Source organism: Homo sapiens, chromosome 10 (genome assembly GCF_000001405.40).
Source record: "Homo sapiens chromosome 10, GRCh38.p14 Primary Assembly".
Classification (NCBI taxonomy): Eukaryota; Metazoa; Chordata; class Mammalia; order Primates; family Hominidae; genus Homo; species Homo sapiens.
In genome coordinates this window covers 6570559-6592308 of record NC_000010.11, presented here as the reverse complement: position 1 = coordinate 6592308, position 21750 = coordinate 6570559, and the positions used below count along the sequence as shown (strand labels likewise).

Genomic DNA, 21750 nt, shown 5'->3' with positions numbered 1-21750 from the left:
AGGTTACCATGTTTTCCTTCCTGTGTTTGAAAACCACATGTGTTTTAGTGAAAACATTAAGGTGAGTAATGAAATGGAAGGTTTCAAAGTGCCAGCCACCTGTCACTAGAAATGGAAATATCTCACTTATTCTTTCTTCTACAGCAATAAATTAGAGTGAGCAGAAGGTGTAATTTTTAGTCAATCCATCTCAGCTGAATACAAATCATGCATCCTGCTGGAGTAAAAATATTATACAAATATTTGTCAGAGTTAGGTTCTTTTGCACTTTATGGATTTATCAAGTGGAAAGAAATGTTATCTCATCCATTGCTTTGTTTTACAGCAGAGGAAACTGAGGCCCAGAGAGATCATGGGACTCCCCAAGTCCTCATGGCTTGTCAGTGGTGGAGCCCAGACCTGTCATGATCATGAATCTGGGAGTTCTAGGACTCTGAAGTCCACCATCTGCCACCACAGCACACTGCCCTGCTCCCCTGCTCCCACAGCAGATAACAGCAGAAAAGGGGCAGGGAGGGGCAATACTGAGTGCTTCCTAGGAACTTCCACGTTTTATTTCAACTCATTCTCACCTGTGAGTAGATAAATACAAGCAGAGGCGTGTTGTACAAACTAGCCAGCACCTACTATGTGAGCATGTTCTTCAAGTATCAATGGAAGATGTTTGTTACGAGGATTTGTTGCCGTTACAGGTGAGGAAGAAGGTGACATGTTTCTTTAAGGCTGAGAGTCAGAAGCCAAACAAGTTAACATCTACTCTTTTCTAAAAGCATAGCTTGACATTTTCCTCTATTTCTCTGACTTTCTCAGCAACACCAGAAATATCCTTAGGACCATAAGCTAATTGCCAGCCGACTCACTGGAGGGGATGGTATCTCAGCAGCCACAGGTGTCTGCCAGTGAAAAGCTGAAGGTGTAGCTGGGTGAGGAGAGCAGTCAGGAGCCTGATGTCCATTCCCACCTGGCCATGTGCGGCTTCCTCTGCCTGCCTCACTCTGTCACCCTGTGCCCCTCTCTGCTCTGGGCACAGCTGGCTACTGAGGGATGAGCCCCTCAGGACACCTCCTCCTTGAATGACTACTATCCCAGCACTTGATCCTGGATTTAGCAGCTGTGCCAACTCAGTTTTGTCTGGGTAATCAGTACATGATGCAAAAACATGCAAGAGACTCACCTGTTATCCGTCACAGAGGGTCTGCCTCAGATCACCGGTATTGTTCAATCACCTGGGAGGCTAAACCACGGATCAAAATGGTTCTCCATGAGCAAAGACAAATATGGTGAAACAATGATCAAGAGGATATTTGTCTCAAGCTATCAGAGGTGTATCCTCCAGCAGTTTAGGAAGATTTTCAACTCCTTAAGGAAAGAAGTACAATTAAGTACAATTGAACAATTCAGAAAACAAGATGACAAATTCTTATCATCCAACCCTCTTTTATTTATTTTTCCATAAGTTTTTGGGGTACAGGTGGTATTTGGTTACAGGAGTAAGTTCTTTAGTGGTGATTTGTGAGATTTTGGTACACCCATCACCCAAGCAATATACTTTGCACCATATTTCTAGTCTTTATGTCTCGCCGCCCCCTACCCTTCCCCCCAAGTCCCCAAAGTCCATTGTATCATTCTTTTGCCTTTGCATCCTCATAGCTTAGCTCCCACATATCAGTGAGAACATATGATGTTTGGTTTTCCATTTCTGAATTACTTCACTTAGAATAATAGTCTCCAATCTCCAGGTCACTGCAAATGCTGTTAATTCATTCCTTTTTATGGCCAAGTAGTCTTCCATCGTATAAATATACCACAGTTTCTTTATCCACCAACCCTCCTTTTAAATATTCTTTGTCCAGCCCCAAGACTTTTAGCCTGAAAATCTCATCTCTTATTAACTCAAATTAAAATCTCCCAGATGATTATGTTCCCTGTACTTATACTTTATGTCAATGACGTGATGACACTTTCACCTCACAGATGAGACGCGCCACCTCTGAGGGACAGAGTGAGGAAATCCTCACCACTCCTGCTTGTTCTTTGTGCATTCTTGCTATTGGATTCCATTTAGAAATTGGCATGGACTGCCTTCTGCCCAGGTTGAGATAAATTCTACTTTTTAAGTGTTTGAGGCATTTAACCACTGACTACAATGTGAAATTCACACTTTACTGAACTTTTTCCTTTATCGAGAATTTTTTAAAGCATTATTATTTGCTCTACGTAAGACATGGTGCCAGAAAACCAGAGGAGATACCAAAAGAGATATAAAACAAACTCGGCCCTGGGGGGACAGAGATGGGGGTGGACAGGGAGGAAGCAGGAGAGAGAGGAAGAGAGAAAGGTGACAGTGAAATCGAGAGGTCGGAGGAAGCCCCACAGAGAAGGAGGGGGCTTGAATCACAGCAGCGAGGACGGGAAAGGGCTGGAGACACCATTTTAACTAGCACGTCACTCACCAAATAAGAAAAAAGGATTCAGAAAGCATGCATGGCTTATTTAAGGTCACACTGGCAGTAAGCCTAACTTGTCACCTTACAGAACAGCAGAGAGAGAGGGAGAGAGAATGAACACACTTGTCCCCTGCCCTCCACTCACTAAGCTCCTGACGACCTCTCAGTCACCTGGGAAACCAACCCTGTTTCTGGCTACGTAGAAAGGGCTTTGTAAATACAATAATATTATACTTGATTTTCAAGTAATCTTTTTACTGGAATTGACACATGCAGAAAAGACTGCAAGTCACAAATACACAGCTAGATGAACTTTTCCAAAGTGGACCTACCTATTACCTATCCCCTACATCAAGTCATAAAAATAGCACCATGAGCCATCCTGGTGCTCCTTCCCTGGCACTCCACCACCTGCCTCCCCAGATGCAGTAGCTACTCTCATGACTTTCCATTGCATGAATTCAGTTTACCTGTTTTGGGACTTAATGTAAATACAATCATACAGTATGTCTTTTTTTGGGACCTGGCTTCTTTCACTTGACGTTATGTTTTCAGCGTGTGTTCAAGCTGTGGCATGTTTCTACCGACGAAAGTACCACAGTTTTATTGTGCAGCCTCCAGCTGGTGGACGCTTGAGATGTTTCCACTTTGGGGTGATGATGAACTGGGCTGCAGTGAACATGTTGTACATGTCTTTTAGCGCATCTGTCTACATTTTTGTAGGTTATGTACCCATGACATTCCTGGGTCACTGGTTTTGCATATGCTCAGCTTTAGTAGGTACTGCTAAACCATTTTCCAAAGCTGTATGAATTTACATAAGAATTCCACTTTCTCCACTCCCTCCTCATGATGTACATAATGGACTCACTATGTCCAGGGAGTTACAAAGTAGAGCATTGAATTTTTTGAATTTTCTTTCGTAGCTAAGAAATAAAAGAAAGAATTTAAGTTGAGAACTGTAGGAGAGGTCTTCATTCTATCCAAATGCAATCACAAGGAAAAGAGAAAGCATGAGTCTGCAAAAGGTAAGTAAATGTAGAGAGGTTTGGGGAAATAGATACAGATACAAGTGTTTTGTTTTCTAAAAATCTTTTTAGGGCTTTGACTTTATGGAGTGCACAAAGACTATAACCTCAAGAACTCAAGTTTAAAGAATTTCAGTTCTATTGTTTGGTTTCTTTGGCTCAGGTTTTTACTGCGCTCCTAGGAAAGGTGGAAGCTTGGGAGTAAAGCTGTGATAGCTAAAATGTGTTGCACCAAGCTGAGTTTTATCCAGAAGCCTTTTAAGTTCTTAAATGTTTATTTCTTTTCTAGCTCCCTTGGCAAAGCAACGGACAGGACAGAAAGGTTCTAGAGAACAACCATCACGTCTTTTGCTCAAAGAAACTTCCTCAGTGTGATTAAAATCTGATCCACATTTCTGCAGCCCTCCCAAATTGATGTAACTCCTAAATTTACGTACCTACTCTGGCAGTTCCATATCAGTTGCTTCAGATTGACCTTTTCCTCGTGTTAAAAGCACGTGATCCCACTTATTAAACAAGGAGTTTGTGGTTTTCTTTCACTGTGCAGTGGAAAGGCTTTTAAAAGTTGCTTTGGAAGAAAGAAAATTTGAAGTCATTCTTTGGAGTTATAAGGGCAGATTTAAACAGTATCATTACTCATTCTTTGAGGTTTTTTATGTGTGTAGGAATAATATTTGTCCTTCAGTAAAAAACAAAGTAGCTAGTCCTATTCAGAGCAACCAGAACATTCCAATCAGCTGCCTAAAAATCACATCTGCAATTTTCTAAAAAATAAAACATCAGCAAATCAAGTAAAAACCAAAGAAACAATTTTAAAAATGATGTTGTGGCCTAAACTATAAACTGTATGGTATAGAAATTTTGTGCTTCAGTCTCAAGATATGTGACCTCAGCCACAAGGAGGATAAAATGCCAAAGTACTGACAGGTATCTATATTTTGAGATTAGCAATCATTTCAAATTTCTTTTATAGACAGTTTTATATTTTTCAAAATATTTATGGTGAATATTTATTACTTCATAATCAGGCAACCAGTAAAAGTTATTTTTAAAATAAAATAATTCAAAAAAGTATAGATAAAAGAATATTTGAAAACACCAAAATATTATCTGTCTTTAGGTGGTGACATTCTGGCTAATCTTTTTTCTTTTCTGTAATTTCTAGTTGTGTGTGTGTGTGTGTGTGTGTGAGTGTGTATGCATAACCTTTATCATAAGAAAAATAACAAATATTTCTCAAAATCTACATGTGGAATATGACCCTTTCTTTTAGCCTTTGCAGCAGGTGGTGAGAATTCTCTAGACAGAGTTCAGCAGAGCTCCTAATGAAGCCTGACTGGGTTCTGATCCTGGCTCTGGCAGTCACTTGCTTTGTGATCTTGTGTAAGTTATTTACTTTCTCCGAGCCTCAAGTTCTCATCTGTAATGTGTACATAATCCCCATATCATAGGATTGCTGTAGGGTTAAATAAGATAGTATTTGGAAAATACTGTGATACAAATGCTCTATAATGGGTAGTTATTAATTCAAATTGCACCATTCTCTTCTTGAGGCTTATAGGGATCAAAGCACTTTAGAGGTTATAGCTGCTCAATCTTGCCTATAAAAATGCCAGGATGTGATATGAATATACCCTCCTTTTACTAATTTTAAAATCAACACTTTGAGAAGAGTTTGTGAAATAATGCATGATATTTGTAATCTGTGTAGAAAAGCAAACACATTTTCTGATTTCAAATACCACGTATCTTTGATCTTCAAACATCATATCTCCATTAAATTCTCATAAGAGATGTAAAAAGATTAGTTCATTTTTAAAATTACTTTTAATATTATACAAATATTAAAAATAGAAACGGAAGCTAATAGAAATACAGATGTAAGCTATTAAAACTATTCCTTAAATATAAGATATTTTTCTTCAATCATCATAGTGCATTTTATTTAAGTACCAGGCAATCCAGGTGTGGTTTTGTTTGTTTTAATGAGTAAAATGGAGATAGAACATCTGCCTTCTGGGTGATGTGCTGGACTCCACGCGCATGGCTTTCCCTCTCTTATGTGCTGCCTCTACGTAGTGATAGGCAGACAAAAAGGAAAGGAAATGTCAGCTTGGCTCCACTCCCAGCAGATGAGCCAATCCAAGGTGAAAGAAATAACCCATCTCAAGGTTTGCCTCTTGGGTCCCAAACAAACATTTTGAGGGTGAGATGCTTGAGTTGAGGGATCAACTGTGACCAAGAAACAAAGCACGTCTAAGTGACTCACACAACAGGTGCACATGGTCAGCCACATTAGGCCACTGTGCTAAGCCACCAAGAAAAAAAATAAATCTTTATATTTTTGTTCCACAAAAGTTTTTCTTTAAAAGTGAATGGTCGAAGTGATGATGTAACCAAAAGAGCTGGACACCACACAGAAAGTAATGATTTTCAGCGTTTTCCTGGTACCACCAGTATAGGCTTTTTTGAGGGTGTTTGAAATTTTTTTATACCAGTGAATATAGGAAATGAGCAGTGAGTACCACTAGAAGCAAATAGCAGTACATCCCCCATCGCTGACAATTAGTACTTTCTTTAATTTGATATTTAGTCTCAGAATTTTATAGCTGGAAGAAACCTGATAGAATATCCTGTGTAGCCCAGCATACTTTCTGTAAAATGAGAAATCCTCTTCCCAATTTGTGTGTGTGTGTGTGTGTGTGTGTGTGTGTGTGTTAATGGCAGAATAAAGCCAGGCTATGGACAAAGGAGAAGGGAGTGATGAGGATCAGGTGTGGCATTTGCCTTTCCAAAAAAGAGATTGAGTGACTTACTCTAAAGTAAGTTCCCCTTCAAATCTAAAGCAATTGCACTATGTCAAACTATAAAATTGCAACAATCAAATTTATAAATATGATAGTTTTCATCTTGATTTCTTCCTCCTGGATTTACAGATAATAAATCTTCCTCCTGAGATTTATTAATCCTTCCTGGGGAGGACTTACCATTAAAATGTATGGTCTTTTGCATTTTCAGGCTGCTGTTGCTTTTACCCTGGTGGAAGATAATCACTAAAAAGTAGTCTCTGTGGATTATCTAATCAATATCTCTTCAATTTCAGATAAAATTTTATACTCACTTGGGCCTTAATTATTGTGCTAATATCTCTAGGCTTCCCAAATCCAGGAGAACTGTGTCTGTGGATCTTTAGAAATACTTGGACTGACTAGTTTTATGCTGGTTCTACCCTTAGAATCCAGAAACAGGCCAGAAGCATATCCTGTTAACTTGTATCTATGTTAAGAAAACATTGAAAATGTAATTATTCACTATCTGATTTAGAAACTGATGTTACAATTAGCATCTCTGTATTGGTAGTGGTAACAACAATGACAACAAATTGTACCCATAGAATTTCCACAGCCATAACTAAAACCAGATGGCAAATACTGTTTTTATAACTCCCACCTTTAAAAAAAAAAACCAAAGGAACCGTTTCTTGTTTAATTTCATTCTTTGATAGTTGTAATAGTAATTGACACCGAGGAAAAAACAATCTACTCTAAATATTCTACACAGTAAGGATTAAATTTCATTTTCTATGGTTTTACTATTTAGTGGGCATTGTGATACATTCTAATCTACACATTGCCCCTCTACCCATGCCTTGTCTTTTGTCCTCAGAATATCTTATTAATCAGAACTTTCATAAACATACACAATTCTTTGACTGTTTCAAGAGTCAGGCTATATTTTCAGCTCTTGTCTTGTTTCTGTGAATATGGTGGCAGAAATCATGGATTTGAGGGTCAACTGGACTGGTGTCAAGCAGTCCCCTACCGTTTATTAGCTGAATGAGCTTAGGAAATCATTTGTTTAACCTTTAAGTCTCAATTGTCTCATCTGTAAAATGAAGAGGATATTATCCATCTCAGGGGATTCATTGTTAGAATCAAATTAAATAATTGAAATTAAGTGTGTAACACTACGCTTCGACACAGGTAGTAAATGTACGATAAATATTAACTAATATTCACACATTATCTTTCTCTTAAATGAAGGAATAATACATACTTCCCTTCCCTTGTGTAAGATTTTTTGAAGTAACTTAACATTACAAAGCATGTCTAATGAATATTTTAAATAATGGAACTTTCAAATATATATTATGAACATTTTTTAAACCTTAACCTAGGGTAAGGTTTCCATTCACCTTTCACTGGTTTCGAAGAGTTGATATCAGTTTTACTATCAACAGTAATTGAGGTTTATCACTCCCCAAGAGGAGGGTCAGTTTTTTTTTTTTTTTTTTTTTTTTTCAGGGTTTAGAGCTATTTTCTGGCAATAACAATTTCTAACTTCTAATTACCCTTTTTCCGGCTTGAAAATCTAAAGTTGGATTGAAGAAGAGAAATGACAACATCTCCCTTTTACTTATCCAAGCTGTGAATTTAAAATACCTTTCGTTTTTGTTTGTTTGTGCCTATCAACTTTGACCCATAGCTCCCAGAATAATTTTGATATTTTCTGAATAAATTGACACTAGACTTTATACATCACTCATGTCTTTATTTAGGGTAGGCCACTGTCCTCTAATTCCATACTGATTCTTCTGGGTACTCTGGTGAGCCACTCAAAAAACAATTTCTGCCAAACCTTTGGGAAAGTATCAGTGGTTTGGTGGCCAAATTCCTCATCAAATAGTGCAAACTGGTTTCCTCCAAGCTGTGACTTCTGCAGAGACAGAAATGTCCTTGTTAAGTAACACTGTCCTCAAATTTTCTATGTGTATCATAGCCTACTTCCTCCTGAATACTACCTTTCTCCAAATCAAGACTCAAAATAATATGTTTTCTTTTTAATTTCTATCCTAAATCCCATATAGAAGGAAGGATGCAAGACGTGGTCTCCATGGGAGACAGAGTATAATCACCAACTAGGTCCAAAAGAAAAGCAAAGTCGTGTCCTGGGTTCCTTTTTCCAAGTTCCGAGTTGTGGGAAGATGGGTTGTGGCAGCTCCGGGAGCAGACACATAGGATTTCCTCCTTCCTCAGCTCTCAGGAGGGCCGCTGGATCCAAGGCAGGGGTCAGGTATTTCCGAGATGAAGTGAACTGAATAGGGCGGCTACCCGAAAGGCAGTCCTCAGCATTATTCCAGGAAACATCAGGGCAGAACCTGAAAGAGGAAAAGAAGTACACAGCTGAAAGTTAGGGTGTGTTTAACGTAGTGAGTGGAACCTCACCGCCCACGTGTCATCCCCTCCAGGAAATGCCATTTCCTCTTCCAGGAAACAAAGGTGTGGAGAACTTCTGAGAGCAGCCACGTTTATATAACTAAGAGACAGTGTCTAATAGAAAACAGAAACACCCCATGGCCTGGGAAAGGAGATGGCGGGTCTACAGGATGCTGGCATCAAGAATATCTAGAGGTGTCCACTACACCTAATGGATACCAAGAACAGATGTGAATTTTTTGTTTTAGATGAAATTTTACGATAAAAAAATCCCAATTTTGTAGATATATGATGGATGTTGTTTTAAAAGATCTGATCTTCAGGTTAACGGGTTTCCTGTTGTAGGACTATACGATTATAGGACAATTGAGTAGCCAAGAGTCCTCAAAGATCAGTTGTCCAAAAGAGAAAGAAAGAGAAAACTGAGTGTACGATGTAAGAATGGAGAATTGGCTGGGCGCAGTGGCTTATGCCTGTAATCCCAGCACTTTCGGAGGCTGAGGTGGGCGGATCACCTGATGTCAGGAGTTCGAGACCACCCTGGCCAACATGGTGAAACCCGTCTCTACTAACAATACAAAAATTAACTGAGCATGGTGGCAGGCACATGCCTGTAATCCCAGCTACTCAGGAGGCTGAGGCAGGAAGAATCACTTGAATCCAGAAGGCAGAGGTTGCAGTGAGCCAAGATTGTGCCACTGCACTCCAGCCTGGGTGACAGAACAAGACTCCATCTCAAAAAAAAAAAAAAAAAAGGAGAATTAATTATTCAGCAGCTCTTGAGATGGTGGCTCCAGCCTGACCTGGGTTTGAATCTTGGTTCTGGTACTTTAGTAATTGTGGGATCTTGAGCGAGGTACATAACCTTTCTAAGCCTTGTTAGTCTCTTCTGTTAAAGAGAGATGATAATGATGATGATACATATCACATCAGATTATGAATATTATATGAGTAGTGCGTCTAAAGTCATCACAGGCTGGGCATGGTGGCTCACCCCGATAATCCCAGCATTTTGGGAAGCTGAGGTAGGAGCATCACTTGAGCCCAGGAGTTTTAAACCAGCCTGGGCAACATAGTGAGACCCCGTCTCTACAAAAAAATCTTTTTAAATATTAGCTTGGTCATGGTGATGTGTGCCTGTAGTCCCAGCTATTTGGGAGGCTGAGGTGAGAGGATAACTTGAGTCCTGGGGGATCAAAACTGCAGTGAGCTATGATCACGCCGCTGCACTCCATCCTGGGCAACACAGCAAGACTCTGTCTCAAAAAGAAAAAAAAAAGTCCTTATCATACCTGGTGTATATATGAAACTTTTTCTAAAGCCACTAACTACTGATTAAATTAACAGGACATATGAGCTTCCTTTCAGTGCCTAATTGTCAATGAGAAACCCAGATATGGAGCGTGAGGAATCTACCATCTTCTAGGCACAGTAGCTGTTATCCGTTTGCCATTTCTTCTTTGCACTGTAACAGGATCCGCTGAAAAACAATTGGAGAAAGAGCCAGATGGATGGCAGTCTGAACTAGGGAAGCTTCTGTTTTGTAGTTTGCAGAAAGAATCTGCATGGGGATCACTGCTTAAGCTTTGCCTCTTTGTTTCCAGACACAGACGCACTTTCCTGCCTAATTTCCATAGCAAATACCCAATGAGCGCCTACTGTATGCCAGGTTCTGATGATGTCAGAGTGAGCCAGCACTTCCGAGGTACTGGCCACTCTCAAACCTCCTGGCTAGGATCTTCCAAGAGCTACAGCCTCTGGCCTGAGGGTCAGTCCAATGCTGTTAGATATTGACAAATGCGGGGCTAATTTTAATGGAATATAGTTTTATCCTTAAAAGGTGTGTGTGTTTTGGCTTTATTTGGGTTCATATAGATTAGGGGCATCATCATAACTCGCTTCCTAGTGCAGACCTGAGTGATTTAATCAAGTCTTGAAACACTTCGGGGCCTCAGTTTTTCATCTGCCTTCCCAACCTCTGAGGTTCTTTTTAGTTGACATCCTACATTCCCATGATCAGAAGGCTGCTAATTCAACTTTTGGCTTTTGTTAAACCTTTTTTTTTTTTGAGGCAGAGTTTTGCTGTCACCCAGACTGCAGTGCAGTGGTGAGATCTCAGCTCACTGCAACCTCCTCCTCCCAGGTTCAAACGATTCTCCTGCCTCAGCCTTCTGAGTAGCTGGGATTACTGGCACGTGCCACAACACCCAGCTAATTTTTGTATTTTTAGGAGAGACACGATTTTGCCATGTTGGCCAGGCTGGTCTCAAACTCCCAGCCTCAAGCGATCCACCCGCCTCAGCCTCCCAAAGTGCTGGCATTACAGGCATGAGCCACCGCACCTGGCCTGTTTTGTTTTGTTTTAATCGTTTTTAATGTCTCTCTCAAAACAAGAAAAGAAAAAAGGACAAAAAATTACTATTTTACTTCTCAGATTAATCTGATCTTAGTACACTACAGCAACAAAAGTCTTAATCAAGTACGTTTTAATTATTTGGTGTCATCATTGCAAGGAAACCATTCAGTAAGAATATTAGTAACCAGACATATAATTTTCTAACCTGAATGAGAAATTAGTTACATGGAGTATAGAAAAAGAAACCACCCCGTTTATCCTCCCTGTGACCATCATTAGTATTACCCGCAAGGCATAAAAAGTCCTAAAATGACACGCACGGCGGCAACATTACCTTTGCAGCTTCAAGCACAGTAAAGTTGAAAGCAGTCCCACCTTGGCAATTGTGTATAAAACGACAATGTGCAGATACAGGAAAAGTCCCAGGTCCGAAGCCACCTAGGAACGATGACCCCAGGACAGAAGTGTGCCCAAACAAATGCCTGGGGTAGGTCATTTTAAAAGGAACAATGTTTACAAGCCCTTTCTAGCGTGAAAAACAGAGAAAAGAGACCCAGCTCTTTCCACCCAATCTGCTGGAGCGCCGTTTCGTTTTCAGTTGGGCGAGAGGGAGACATGTGGCCTCTCGCCCCTTTTCCTGACTCTGAGAATGTGGCCGGAGCCGGGGCGCTCCTGCTCCGCCTCGCCGCCCTCCCGGGGCTGTCCTGGGCCCTCCGGCCGCCGCCTCCCGCTCCAGTTCGCAGCTGGGCGACAAGTGGCTGGTAAGGAGGCCAGGGGCGGGAGCCTGGGCGCGGGACCGGGGGCGCACGGCGGGGGACCGAGCGCGCGTCCCTGGCTAGAGGTGCCGGGTCCCGGGAGGCCGGGCTGGCGGGGAGGCTGGCGAGCGCCCCCTGGCGGGCACCGCCTTCTAGGCGCACCCGCAGTGCGCCGGGCCCGCCAGCCCCGCCAGCCCCGCCAGCCCCGCCAGCCCCGCCAGTCCCCGCGCAGTCCCCGCGCAGTCCCCGCGCAGTCCCAGCGCCACCGGGCAGCAGCGGCGCCGTGCTCGCTCCAGGTAGGGCCCCGCGCCCCGCGCCGCCGCCGGGAGGGAGCGGGCTGGAGGGGCCGAGACCCGTGGCGAGAAGGGCTACCCGGGCCCCTCGGAGAGCCTCCGGGAAGGGGTGAGGGCTGCCGGGTGAGCAGGCGGAGTAGGAAATGGAACCAAGCGGGCGCAAGAGCGCACCGGGAAGAATTTCCCCGCTGGGTTTCTGGGACGCAGGTCGCACGGGATGCGGGATGCTGGCGACCTTAGCCGGGTGGGGGCCGCCGGCCTGGGGGCGCTTCCTCCTTTCTTCTCCCTTTTCCTTCTCACCTGAACGAAAGGGGGCCTGCGGGGAGGGAAGAAGGTGGAAAGTTTTTGTATTCTTGGTAAAAAAAAAAAAAAAAAATGCGTGAGGAAACATGTTTTCTGGAGATGGTATCCTGTCCACAGGGGAGCATAACCCCTTTTCTGGGAATGTATTGGAGCACGGACGGGGGTGCCATTGCTCAGGCTTCTAAACAAGCCAAGTTTCTGGTCAAGGGCCTGGGGGAGGGGGAGGCAGGTCTTTGAAAGATACCAAAAAAAAAAAAAAAAGAAAAATCTGCGTGCTCATTCCTGTAGCCTCAAGTGAGGTTATTCCCCAGCTTTGAGGGCCAGGTTAACCAAGCAAAGTTTGTGCAATAAAGTATCTTTGTGGTATTGGATTTTCGAGAGCCACCGTTATCAATGGGAGAGTGACTGTTGAATGCTACAGGCGTGTGCACTCCCCCGTGGGCATGAAGAGAGGTCCACGGGCTGGCTGGATTGGGAGACTCCGGTCATTTCTGCAAGGAGAGCGCCACAGGACTGCCTTGTTCCCTGGGCTGTCCTGCCCCTGTGCGGGCTGGACGTGGTGCTATAAAAGATGATTCAGGAGTGGCACAGGCTGAGGGGGACTAGGCTGGAGAAGGTGGAGGGAAGAGGGAGCACTCCGTGCCCTCTTCCTGTCCATGGGAAATGAACCATCTGTGCCTGGTGTCCAAGTCCTTGACGTTCCAGTTGCCCTTTGAGAGCACACCTCAAGCCTGCTGAATTCTTTTAAGAACCACCTACAAGATCTGAGAAGTCCGCCCATGCTTTCTGTCAACTCCGGCCTCTTTGACCTTTTCTTTTGCCAAAGAAAATTCTAAACCACTGGGATTCGTGAGGCTCCGTGAGAGAGGCAAGAAGCCTGGAGGGTCCACTCCGTTGCTCTTTTCCCTTGGTTTGCTCCCTAGAAGCCATGGTCCCCACTGGGCCCTTCTTGCCCGAGGCTGTGTGATAGACAAGCCCTATTCCTAAGGTCCTGGGTCCCCCACCCCACCCCACACCCCGACCTTGTGAATCATCATCTTCATATTTTCCCTAACTTATCTTTGGTAACCCTTGTAAAATGGCAGGCTTACTGCGGATGCTTAATCTCTTTTAAAAGTGCTGTGTCTAGCGGGAAGAAGAGTGACATTTACTAATATGGTTGCAAATTACTTTTGAAGTTTATGCACAGCTGTTTAAAATCCCTCTGAGATCAGTGCCATTGTTTGATGCAGGTGCTTACCGCAGAAGGCTCTTGTTAGTCCCTTCCTCCTGCTGATTGAACATACATATATTTAAAGACGTGGCGTAGGGAGAGCTTCTAAAACCTGCAAAGCCAAAGCTGCACAGCTCCTGCAAGTTAGCGATCCACTCTAAGTTTTTCAGTTGTTGTTTCTGTCTTCTTGCCTCTCATGAACTTCTGTTTCTGATTTCAAGAGTAACCTGCTGGGCACCATCAGCCTTTGTTTCAGTGACCTGCGATTTTCTTCTACACTTTAAAAATGTCAATATCCAGGCAAGACTCTTGTCACCCACCATCCGCGTTGTCATGTTCATTTCCGCTACTGTCTTGTGCTGTGGTGCCTCGGGATGGCAACTGTTACTTGAGGAGCTAACTTCTACCTCTGTTCTCCTACAGACATGTCCTCATTGCGTCTTCGCTCACCATACACGGTGCAGCTCCTGGAAATTTGATTTGTTTTGCTGTCTCACTTCTCCTTCAGGCAACAAGGGGATGGTGTTCGATTATTCACACCTCAGCTCCTTCTGTAATCTCAAAGATCCCTTTCAACAATAATACTCTCTGTCTCTTGTTAACGCCAGGCATCAGAAGCCCCCTTACATAGCCGGCTTGTCACTGGTCATTTCTATAAAGTATTCTCATTCTAACACATGCTGTCTCTTCCGTGGAAAAGACTAAATTCTTCTCTGCAATGAATTAGATGTTTTAACCAAAATTCCATGTGGACTGGGTCCAGAATTTTCTTTCAAGAGTATGGGCTTGTGGTACAAGTATGTAACTTCGGGGATTCAGAAGTAGACCTACACAGACAAATCTCCTTATAACGTGTTATTTAATTATGGTATATTTGCCTTTCTGGAAATTAGGAATTAGAGTTAGTACTTCCTGTTTTTAATGCATTTGATTGATGTCTTAGAGTTGCTGATTATGTTGTTGCCCCTAAAAATGTTGCTAATGTGCTGGTTTGTTAACAAGGTTATATTTGATTTCAGGTGATTTCCTTTTTATGGAGTTCAGTCTTTAATTTTTTTCAATAATTTGCCTCAAATCATTTAAAATGATATATTGTTATATAATGAAAATCCCAGCAATATAGACGTGATTCCGTGTGTGTGTGTATGTGTGTGTGTAATCTGTAATTTAAAATAGAGAAATTAGTATTGTGACGGCATACATAGCATTAAACTCATGCTTGCTGTTTCTGTTGTTTTAACACTTTAAGCAGCTCATTTCTAAGCAGCTATGTGTTCAGCTCAGCTTTTTCATACCTATTCCAATTGTTAAGGAAGAAGTCATGAGAAACTATAGAAAAATGTGATGTTGAACCAGAGAGATGGATTAAAAGCTGTTTCCTTACAATGGTGAAAATATCTTTCATTATTTTAACATGCCAAGCATTTATACATGTCAAATTCTGATTGCTCTGTCATCTAAACACATTCTTGGGGACAAAATGAGCATCAGAGTTTTAAAATTAGGAAAGCTCACTCAAGCCCAGAATCATAGATTTTTGCTCCTGGATTAAATTAGCAAGTATTTGGCAGGACATCTTTCTGCAGGTTGCTGTAGGTTGATGTTAGCTTTTGAATTAAGCTAATAGTATTAATTATAATAATAATAATCAGCATCAACAAAACCAATGAAATATGGTTTTGAGTCTTTATTATTTAGAATTTATGTGCTGTATATCATACTCAGAATTTTATTTATATGTAAGAGGCATTACTGCTTCATTTAACCTCCAAAAGCCTTTATAAATTAGATATTATTATTATTCCAGTTTTTCAGATGAGGAAACTGAGGCTCAAGGGGTAGAGCCCCTTGTCCAGGTCTTATAACCAGTCAGTGGTAGAGTCAGGTTAGTTGGACCATCCAGATTAGTCTAACCATCAAGCATTTGCTTTAAACCGCAGTCCCAGGTGACCTACCAGTTAACTTTTTTATTGTGGTTAAAATACACATAACTTAAAATTTAACTTCTTAACTATTTTCTAGCGTACAGTTCAGTGACATTAAGTATATTCACATTGTTTTGCAACCATTGCCATCATCCATCCACAGGATTCTTCTCATCTCCTAAAACTGAAACTCTGTCCTCGTGGAACATTCGTTCCTCATCCGTCTTTCCTCTCAGCCCCTGGCAGCCACCCTTCTACTTCCTGTCTCTAAGATTCTGACTGCTCTAGGGACCTCACAGAAGCAGAATACAGTATCCATCCTTTTGTAACTGTCTTATTTCACTTAGCATAGTGTTCTCAAGCTGTATCCATGTGACAGCATTGGACAGGACTTCCTTCCTTTTTAAGTCTGAATACTATTCCATTTATGGATATACCACATTTTGCTTATCCTTGTATCTGTTGATGGTTGCTTCTATCTTTTGATTATTGTGAATAATGCTGCCGTGAAGAGGAACACGCAGATATCTGTTTGAGGTCCTGCTTTCAATTCTTTGGGGTATGTACCCAGCAGTAGAATTGTGGGGTCGTAGGGTAATTCTATGTTTAATTTTTTGAGGAACTGCCATATTGTTTTCCACAGTGGCTGGACCGTTTTACATTCCCACCAGTGGTAGAAAGGGTCCCAATTATTCCACATTCTCAGCAACGCTGTCTTTTGTTTTGTGTTTTTTGAGATGGAGTCTCGCTGTGTCGCCAGGCTGGAGTGCAGTGGCATGATCTCAGCTCACTGCAACCTCTACCTCCCAGGTTCAAGCAATTCTCCTGCCTCAGCCTCCTGAGTAGCTGGGACTATAGGCACGCGCTGCCACACCCAGCTAACTTTTGTATTTTTAGTAGAGATGGGGTTTCACCATGTTGGCCAAGATGGTCTCGATCTCTTGACCTCATGATCCACCCACCTTGGCCTCCCAAAGTGCTGAGATTACAGGCGTGAGCCACCGCACCTGGGCTTTTTTAAAAATCTTCTTTATAGTAGCCTTTCTAATTGGTGTAAGGTGCTGATAGTTAACTTTTTACCCAATCATTGAATGCCCAATGGCAGGGATCTCTGGGCTGATGCTACTCCTGAGTTCATTGTTTATTTCCTATCCCAGCTTGAGCATATACACCTTTTTCTAGTGTAGAATTAATGGAGGAAATACAACTCACACAGCACCTGAGGGACTAGGGAAGCCATGGAAAGGACAGTCCCTAAAACATAAACAGAATGTCCCGGTAGGTAGGGTTATCTCCACCTCCATGAGGAACCTTATGATTCAGAAATGAGTAGTTGTTGAGAATAAAGTGAACATGGCATCAGTGTTAATAACCCTGAATGTGTGGGACAGATGCTTTTTAGAAGATTAGTTACAGATATAATTATCTTTTGTATGTTATCAGAGCAGGACAAGTTCCCAGGACAATGGAGAGAATGGAAAGGGAAACTGCTATTGAATTCACCAGGCCTTTGTTGCAAGCCTCAGATCACACACCGTGCTGCAAAACCCACAGGGAGATGTGGTCAGGCAAATAGGAAATTATAATGAATTGTGATGAATTCATGAGATATTTGTACTATTTTGTATCAGTTTATAATGTCATGCAACTCTGTTTTATATTTGCTAGTTTCCTTTCTGTCTCTTTTTTCCTCTAGCATGAAACTCCATGAGGGCTGGCATTTTGTCCCTACATGTGTCCCCAGCCACTCTAACAGGGCCTGACACATACCAAGTTGTGAACAAATATGTGCAGAATGATTGTGTGTTTCAGTAGGGGACACACTTGGTATTATGTGCACAGCTAGATTTGGGGTGTCGCAGAGCTGTCAGTGACGGCTCAACTGAGACCTGAAGGGGAAGTGGCAGTGAGCCAGATGGGGGTTCTGGGAGGTAGGAACAGTGTTTGTAGAATGTCCCTGCAGCATGTGAGTCTGGAATCCCAGTGCAGTCCAGTCTAAGCCTTGCAGATGAGTGGAAATGAGCAGAGTAAGCATCACAGCTTCCATTTAAACCTCTGCTCCCCATCCTAATTTGCCATATGACCTTAACCAGTGAACTTCTTGGAGTGTCATTCTCTCCATTTGCAAAGTGAAGAAAATTGTGATCTCTGATAGCAGTGATGCTGCGAGAAAGGAGCATGTGCCAGTGTGTGGGCTATTGCTGGGTGGAGCTGGAGGAGTCAGCTGTGCCAGATCACATAGGACCTGTAAGCAGGTGAACCATATACGTTATCCTCCAGATGGGGACTGTTTATAGAGTGAAAGAGCACGTTATTAATCACTAAGCTTGGGTAACAGGTACAAACCCAGATTGTCCTGGGCAGACTGTCCCGTAGAGTTGTCCTGCGTTAAGTCATACGAAGGAGTTTGATCCTTTTCTAAGAACAGGAGGAACCCTTTAAATGCTTTATCTACCAATGTATACAAGTGCCATTCAGGTTCTCTCCAGCGTTTCAGAGAGTTTTACCTGCCCATGAACTCACAGCACTCGGCTTGCACTGCAAACTCACCTATACGTTGGCAGCTGTCTCCTCACTGGGCACTTAATTCATGAACAACTAGGAGGGAAAGACAACAAGACAGCCAGGGGTCTGCTCTTTGGCTCTTTGCATTTTTTTTTACGGGGTCTTGCTCTGTCGCCCAGGCTGGAGTGCAGTGGCACGATCTCAGCTCACAGCAGCCTCCGCCTCTGAGGCTCAAGGGATCCTCCGGCCTCAGCCTCCTGAGTAGCTGGGACTACAGTTGCATGCCACCATGGCCTGGCTAGTTTGTGCACTTTGTAGAGATGGTGTTTTGTCATGTTGCCCAGGCTAGTCTCTAACTCCTGGGCTCAAGTGATCTGCCCGCCTTGGCCTCCCAGAGTGCTGAGATTAAAGACATGAGCCACCACACCTGGCCTAGCTCTTTTCGCCTTTAACTGGAGTGTTAGCTGATATCAAGAACACATCTTTTGGGTTTTTCTTTTTTTAACCTTGTAACACCTAAAGGACTGCGGCTAAGTGTTAAAAGAAAAAAATTTCTATCTGGTGGTTTAAATATCTGCAGAAGCAGAATCCTTGTCATCCTGAAATTTTTTCCCTGTGGGCAAGAATTCCTAATAAGCGTACAATCTATTGGAAAAATCAAAAAGTAAACAAACTATGGCAATATATTCTAACATGTATTGACTTGTCACTATCGGCCGTTTGCTGTGCTAAGCACTATATGTAGATGATTGCTTGGGTGCTTTGAGAACATGTAGAAGGGAACCAAGTCCTGATTCGGAGGTTCAGGAAAGGCTTTCAGAGGACAAGGTATCGCGGGTGGGGATGGAAGATGTATGGGAATTAGCCAAAAGGACAGGGGTTCAGAGGTGAGCCAAGTCTGTCCTGAAAGTAAGCAGAAATGTTGTTGTTCTTGTCGTTTTGAGAGAAGTTCATCTCAGCTGTGTTCAGCATTTTTAGGGCATAAGCTTCAACATTTTCCGTTCTGTTTTCACTGATATGTTTTAGCTATACAAAAGCAGGCCTTCTACACAGTTTTTCAAACTCCAAGACACAGTCTACTAGTGGGCAATGACATTAATTTTGGGGGTGATAACAAGCATGAAATAGAATAAAACAGAAAATATTAAGATGCATTTCATGTAGGAAGGGTAATTATTTCATGAAACTGTATCATTTGGTTTGGGACACATTAAATCTGTTCGTACCTAAAAGAAGACATTCATGCAGCCAACAAACATGGAAAAAAAACCCTCAATATCACTGATCATTAGAGAAATGCAAATCAAAACCACAATCAGTTACCATCTCCTGCAAGTCAGAATGGTGATTATTAAAAAATCAAGAAACAACAGGTGCTGGCAAAGTTGCAGAGAAATAGGAACGCTTTTACACTCTTGGTGGTGGGAATGTAAATTAGTCCAACCATTGTGGAAGATGGTGTGGCAATTCCTCAAAGATCTAGAACCAGAAATACCGTTTGACTCAGCACTCCTGTTACTGGGCATATATCCAAAGGAATATAAACCATTCTGTTATAAAGATACATGCACACGTATGTTCATTACAGCACTATTCACAATAGCAAAGACATGGCATCAACCCAAATGCCCACCAATGGTAGTCTGGATTAAGAAAATGTACATACACACCATAGAATACTATGTAGCCATAAAAAGGAATGAGATCCCTGTCCTTTGCAGGGACATGGATAGAGCTGGAAGCCATCATCCTCAGCAAACTAACACAGGAGCAGAAAACTGGACACCTTATGTTCTCACTTATAAGTGGGAGCTGAATAATGAGAACATGTGGACACAGGGAGGGGAACAACACACACTGGGGCCTGTCGGGAGGTGGGATTGGAGGGAGGGAGAGCATTAGGAAAAGTAGCTAATGCATGTGGGGCTTAATACCTAGGTGATGGGATGATAGGTGCAGCAAACCACCATGGCACGTTTACCCATGTAACAAACCTGCACGTCCTGCACCTGTATCCCAGAACTTAAAATAAAAATAAAAATTAAAGAAAATTACATACCTATGGCATTTAGTTTTCTATACCATTCCTTTAAGTCATAGAATCAGATGAGCTCAGGGGCTAGAAGGAAGAGGGAGCGATGGGAAGGCAGTCGTTGGTCATGCCCTGGGCCTGGATCGCGGGAATCAGTCATTCAGAAAGCCCCATATGTTGGGTGGGTCTCACAGCTTACAGAGAAGCCAGCTGAGGTGTGCAGGTTAAGAAACTTGATCTAGGGTCACAGATTAAATTACTAGCGCTGACCCCTGATCTCTTGGCTTCTGATGTGGTGGTATTCTTTCCATACCTCCAGGGACTGTGTTCCCAAAGTTTGTTAGTTAGGTGGCTGTTTAGGGAAGGACCACACCTGGTTCCTGTTTGTTTGTTTCTTGGTTTGTTTGTTGGTTTGTTTGTTTGTTTGTTTTTGAGGCAGGGTCTTGTTCTGTTGCTCAGGTTGGAGTGCTGTGACTCAATCTCGGCTCACTGCAACATCTGCCTCCCAGGCTCAAGCAATTATTGTGTCAGCCTCGAGAGTAGCTAGGACTACAGGCATGCACCACCACACCTGGTTAATTTTTATGTTTTTAGTAGAGACAGGGTTTCACCATGTTGGCCAGGCTAGACTTGAAATCCTGGCCTCAAGTGATCCTCCTGCCTTGGCCTCCCAAAGTGCTGGGATTACAGGTGTGAGCCACCCCACCTATCAAGGGAAGATATTTTCTTAAGGGGAGTATGTAATAACAACCATGTCCCTGGTTTGTTAGGAAGGTTATAAACTTTGAAATATACCCATCAGTTTCATAAAGAGCAAGACAGGTTAGGAAGAAATAGTGTTCATTATACAGACTAGAGAGCTTTCAGCTTGACATTGACAAATATAAACTTGGCCACTGTCCCTCCACTAAAGCGTTTCCCTTGCTGCTGGGGAAGGACCGCCTGGTGATGTTGTGTGAGATGATGCACTTTCTTTGCCCCCTCTGTGGTCACTGGGATCACAGCTAAATCCAACTGTCTGCTTTTTCCAGTGTCTACACATAGGCTGATGAGTTCTCCCGGAAAACACGCCGCTCTGCAAATTCAGGATGCCGTAGCTCTGTGACTTCCCACTCCATCTAGGATCTCTGTCTTCCCCAGCTCCCAGACGTTTCCCTGGCCAATGATCTTCCTTCCCACGGCAGCTTCTCCACAGCTGCTCCTGCCTCCGCCGTCCCCTCGCACTCAGCAGCTGTCTTGCCTCCTGCTTCCCTGAGAAAGTACAAGTTTCCCGATTCAGAACTGCCCCCACCTGGGGATCACAGGGCTGCACGCCTCACTTTATCTGAATCCATCCTCTCATCCTTCTTTTCTTTCACAACGAAAGAAACCCCTCAGTTCCAGCCAGGCACAGTGGCTCACATCTGTAATCCAAGCACTTTGGGAGGCCAAGGTGGGTGAATCACTTGAGGCCAGGAGTTTTAGACCATCCTGGCCAACACGGTGAAACCCCGTCTCTACTAAAAATACAAAAATTAGCCAGGCGTGCTGGCGCATACCTGTAATCCCAGCTACTCGGGAGGCTGAGGCAGGAGAATCGCTTGAACCCAGGAGACAGAGGTTGCAGTGAGCCGAGATTGCCCCATTGCACTCCAGCCTGGGTGACAGAGCAAGAGTCTGTCTTAGAAAAAAAAAAAA

General features: G+C 42.9%; 1 protein-coding gene and 1 long non-coding RNA gene across 9 annotated transcripts in view, besides 4 other annotated features; one reads left to right on the top strand and one right to left on the bottom strand.

The window, feature by feature from the left end:
• Positions 1 to 6947: 6947 nt before the first annotated feature.
• Positions 6948 to 11884, bottom strand: PRKCQ-AS1 (PRKCQ antisense RNA 1). 2 transcript variants are annotated; one of them, NR_036502.1, is made up of 3 exons: positions 11382 to 11884; positions 10108 to 10171; positions 6948 to 8633 (listed from the first exon to the last, which is right to left on the bottom strand). It is a non-coding gene; the product is annotated as a PRKCQ antisense RNA 1 (long non-coding RNA). The 2 variants fall into 2 exon arrangements; NR_036503.1 differs by lacking the exon at positions 10108 to 10171.
• Positions 8528 to 8822: an enhancer, noted in NCBI's record as "tiled region #12587; K562 Activating DNase matched - State 5:Enh". NCBI's record gives its function as "activates a minimal TATA promoter and a strong SV40 promoter by Sharpr-MPRA in K562 cells {active_cell/tissue: K562}" and the evidence as "EXISTENCE:reporter gene assay evidence [ECO:0000049][PMID:27701403]".
• Positions 11622 to 11771: a silencer, noted in NCBI's record as "silent region_2109". NCBI's record gives its function as "represses an Ori minimal core promoter by ATAC-STARR-seq in GM12878 lymphoblastoid cells {active_cell/tissue: GM12878}" and the evidence as "EXISTENCE:reporter gene assay evidence [ECO:0000049][PMID:35858748]".
• Positions 11663 to 21750, top strand: part of PRKCQ (protein kinase C theta) — a 186550-nt gene continuing 176462 nt past the window's right edge. For 4 of the 7 annotated variants that reach the window (NM_001323267.2, NM_001323266.2, NM_001282644.2 and 1 more), the window contains exon 1: positions 12033 to 12098. The gene's annotated coding sequence lies outside the window, so the exon portion shown is untranslated. Of the gene's footprint in view, positions 11809 to 12007; positions 12099 to 21750 lie in introns of those variants that run through there. The other 3 variants (NM_001282645.1, NM_001242413.2, NM_001323265.1) reach the window with 2 other exon arrangements.
• Positions 11782 to 12031: a silencer, noted in NCBI's record as "silent region_2108". NCBI's record gives its function as "represses an Ori minimal core promoter by ATAC-STARR-seq in GM12878 lymphoblastoid cells {active_cell/tissue: GM12878}" and the evidence as "EXISTENCE:reporter gene assay evidence [ECO:0000049][PMID:35858748]".
• Positions 20130 to 20299: an enhancer, noted in NCBI's record as "experimental_14215 CRE fragment used in MPRA reporter constructs". NCBI's record gives its function as "activates a minimal promoter by MPRAs in K562 erythroleukemia cells, with activity observed for the introgressed 10:6614057 variant allele {active_cell/tissue: K562}" and the evidence as "EXISTENCE:reporter gene assay evidence [ECO:0000049][PMID:34662402]".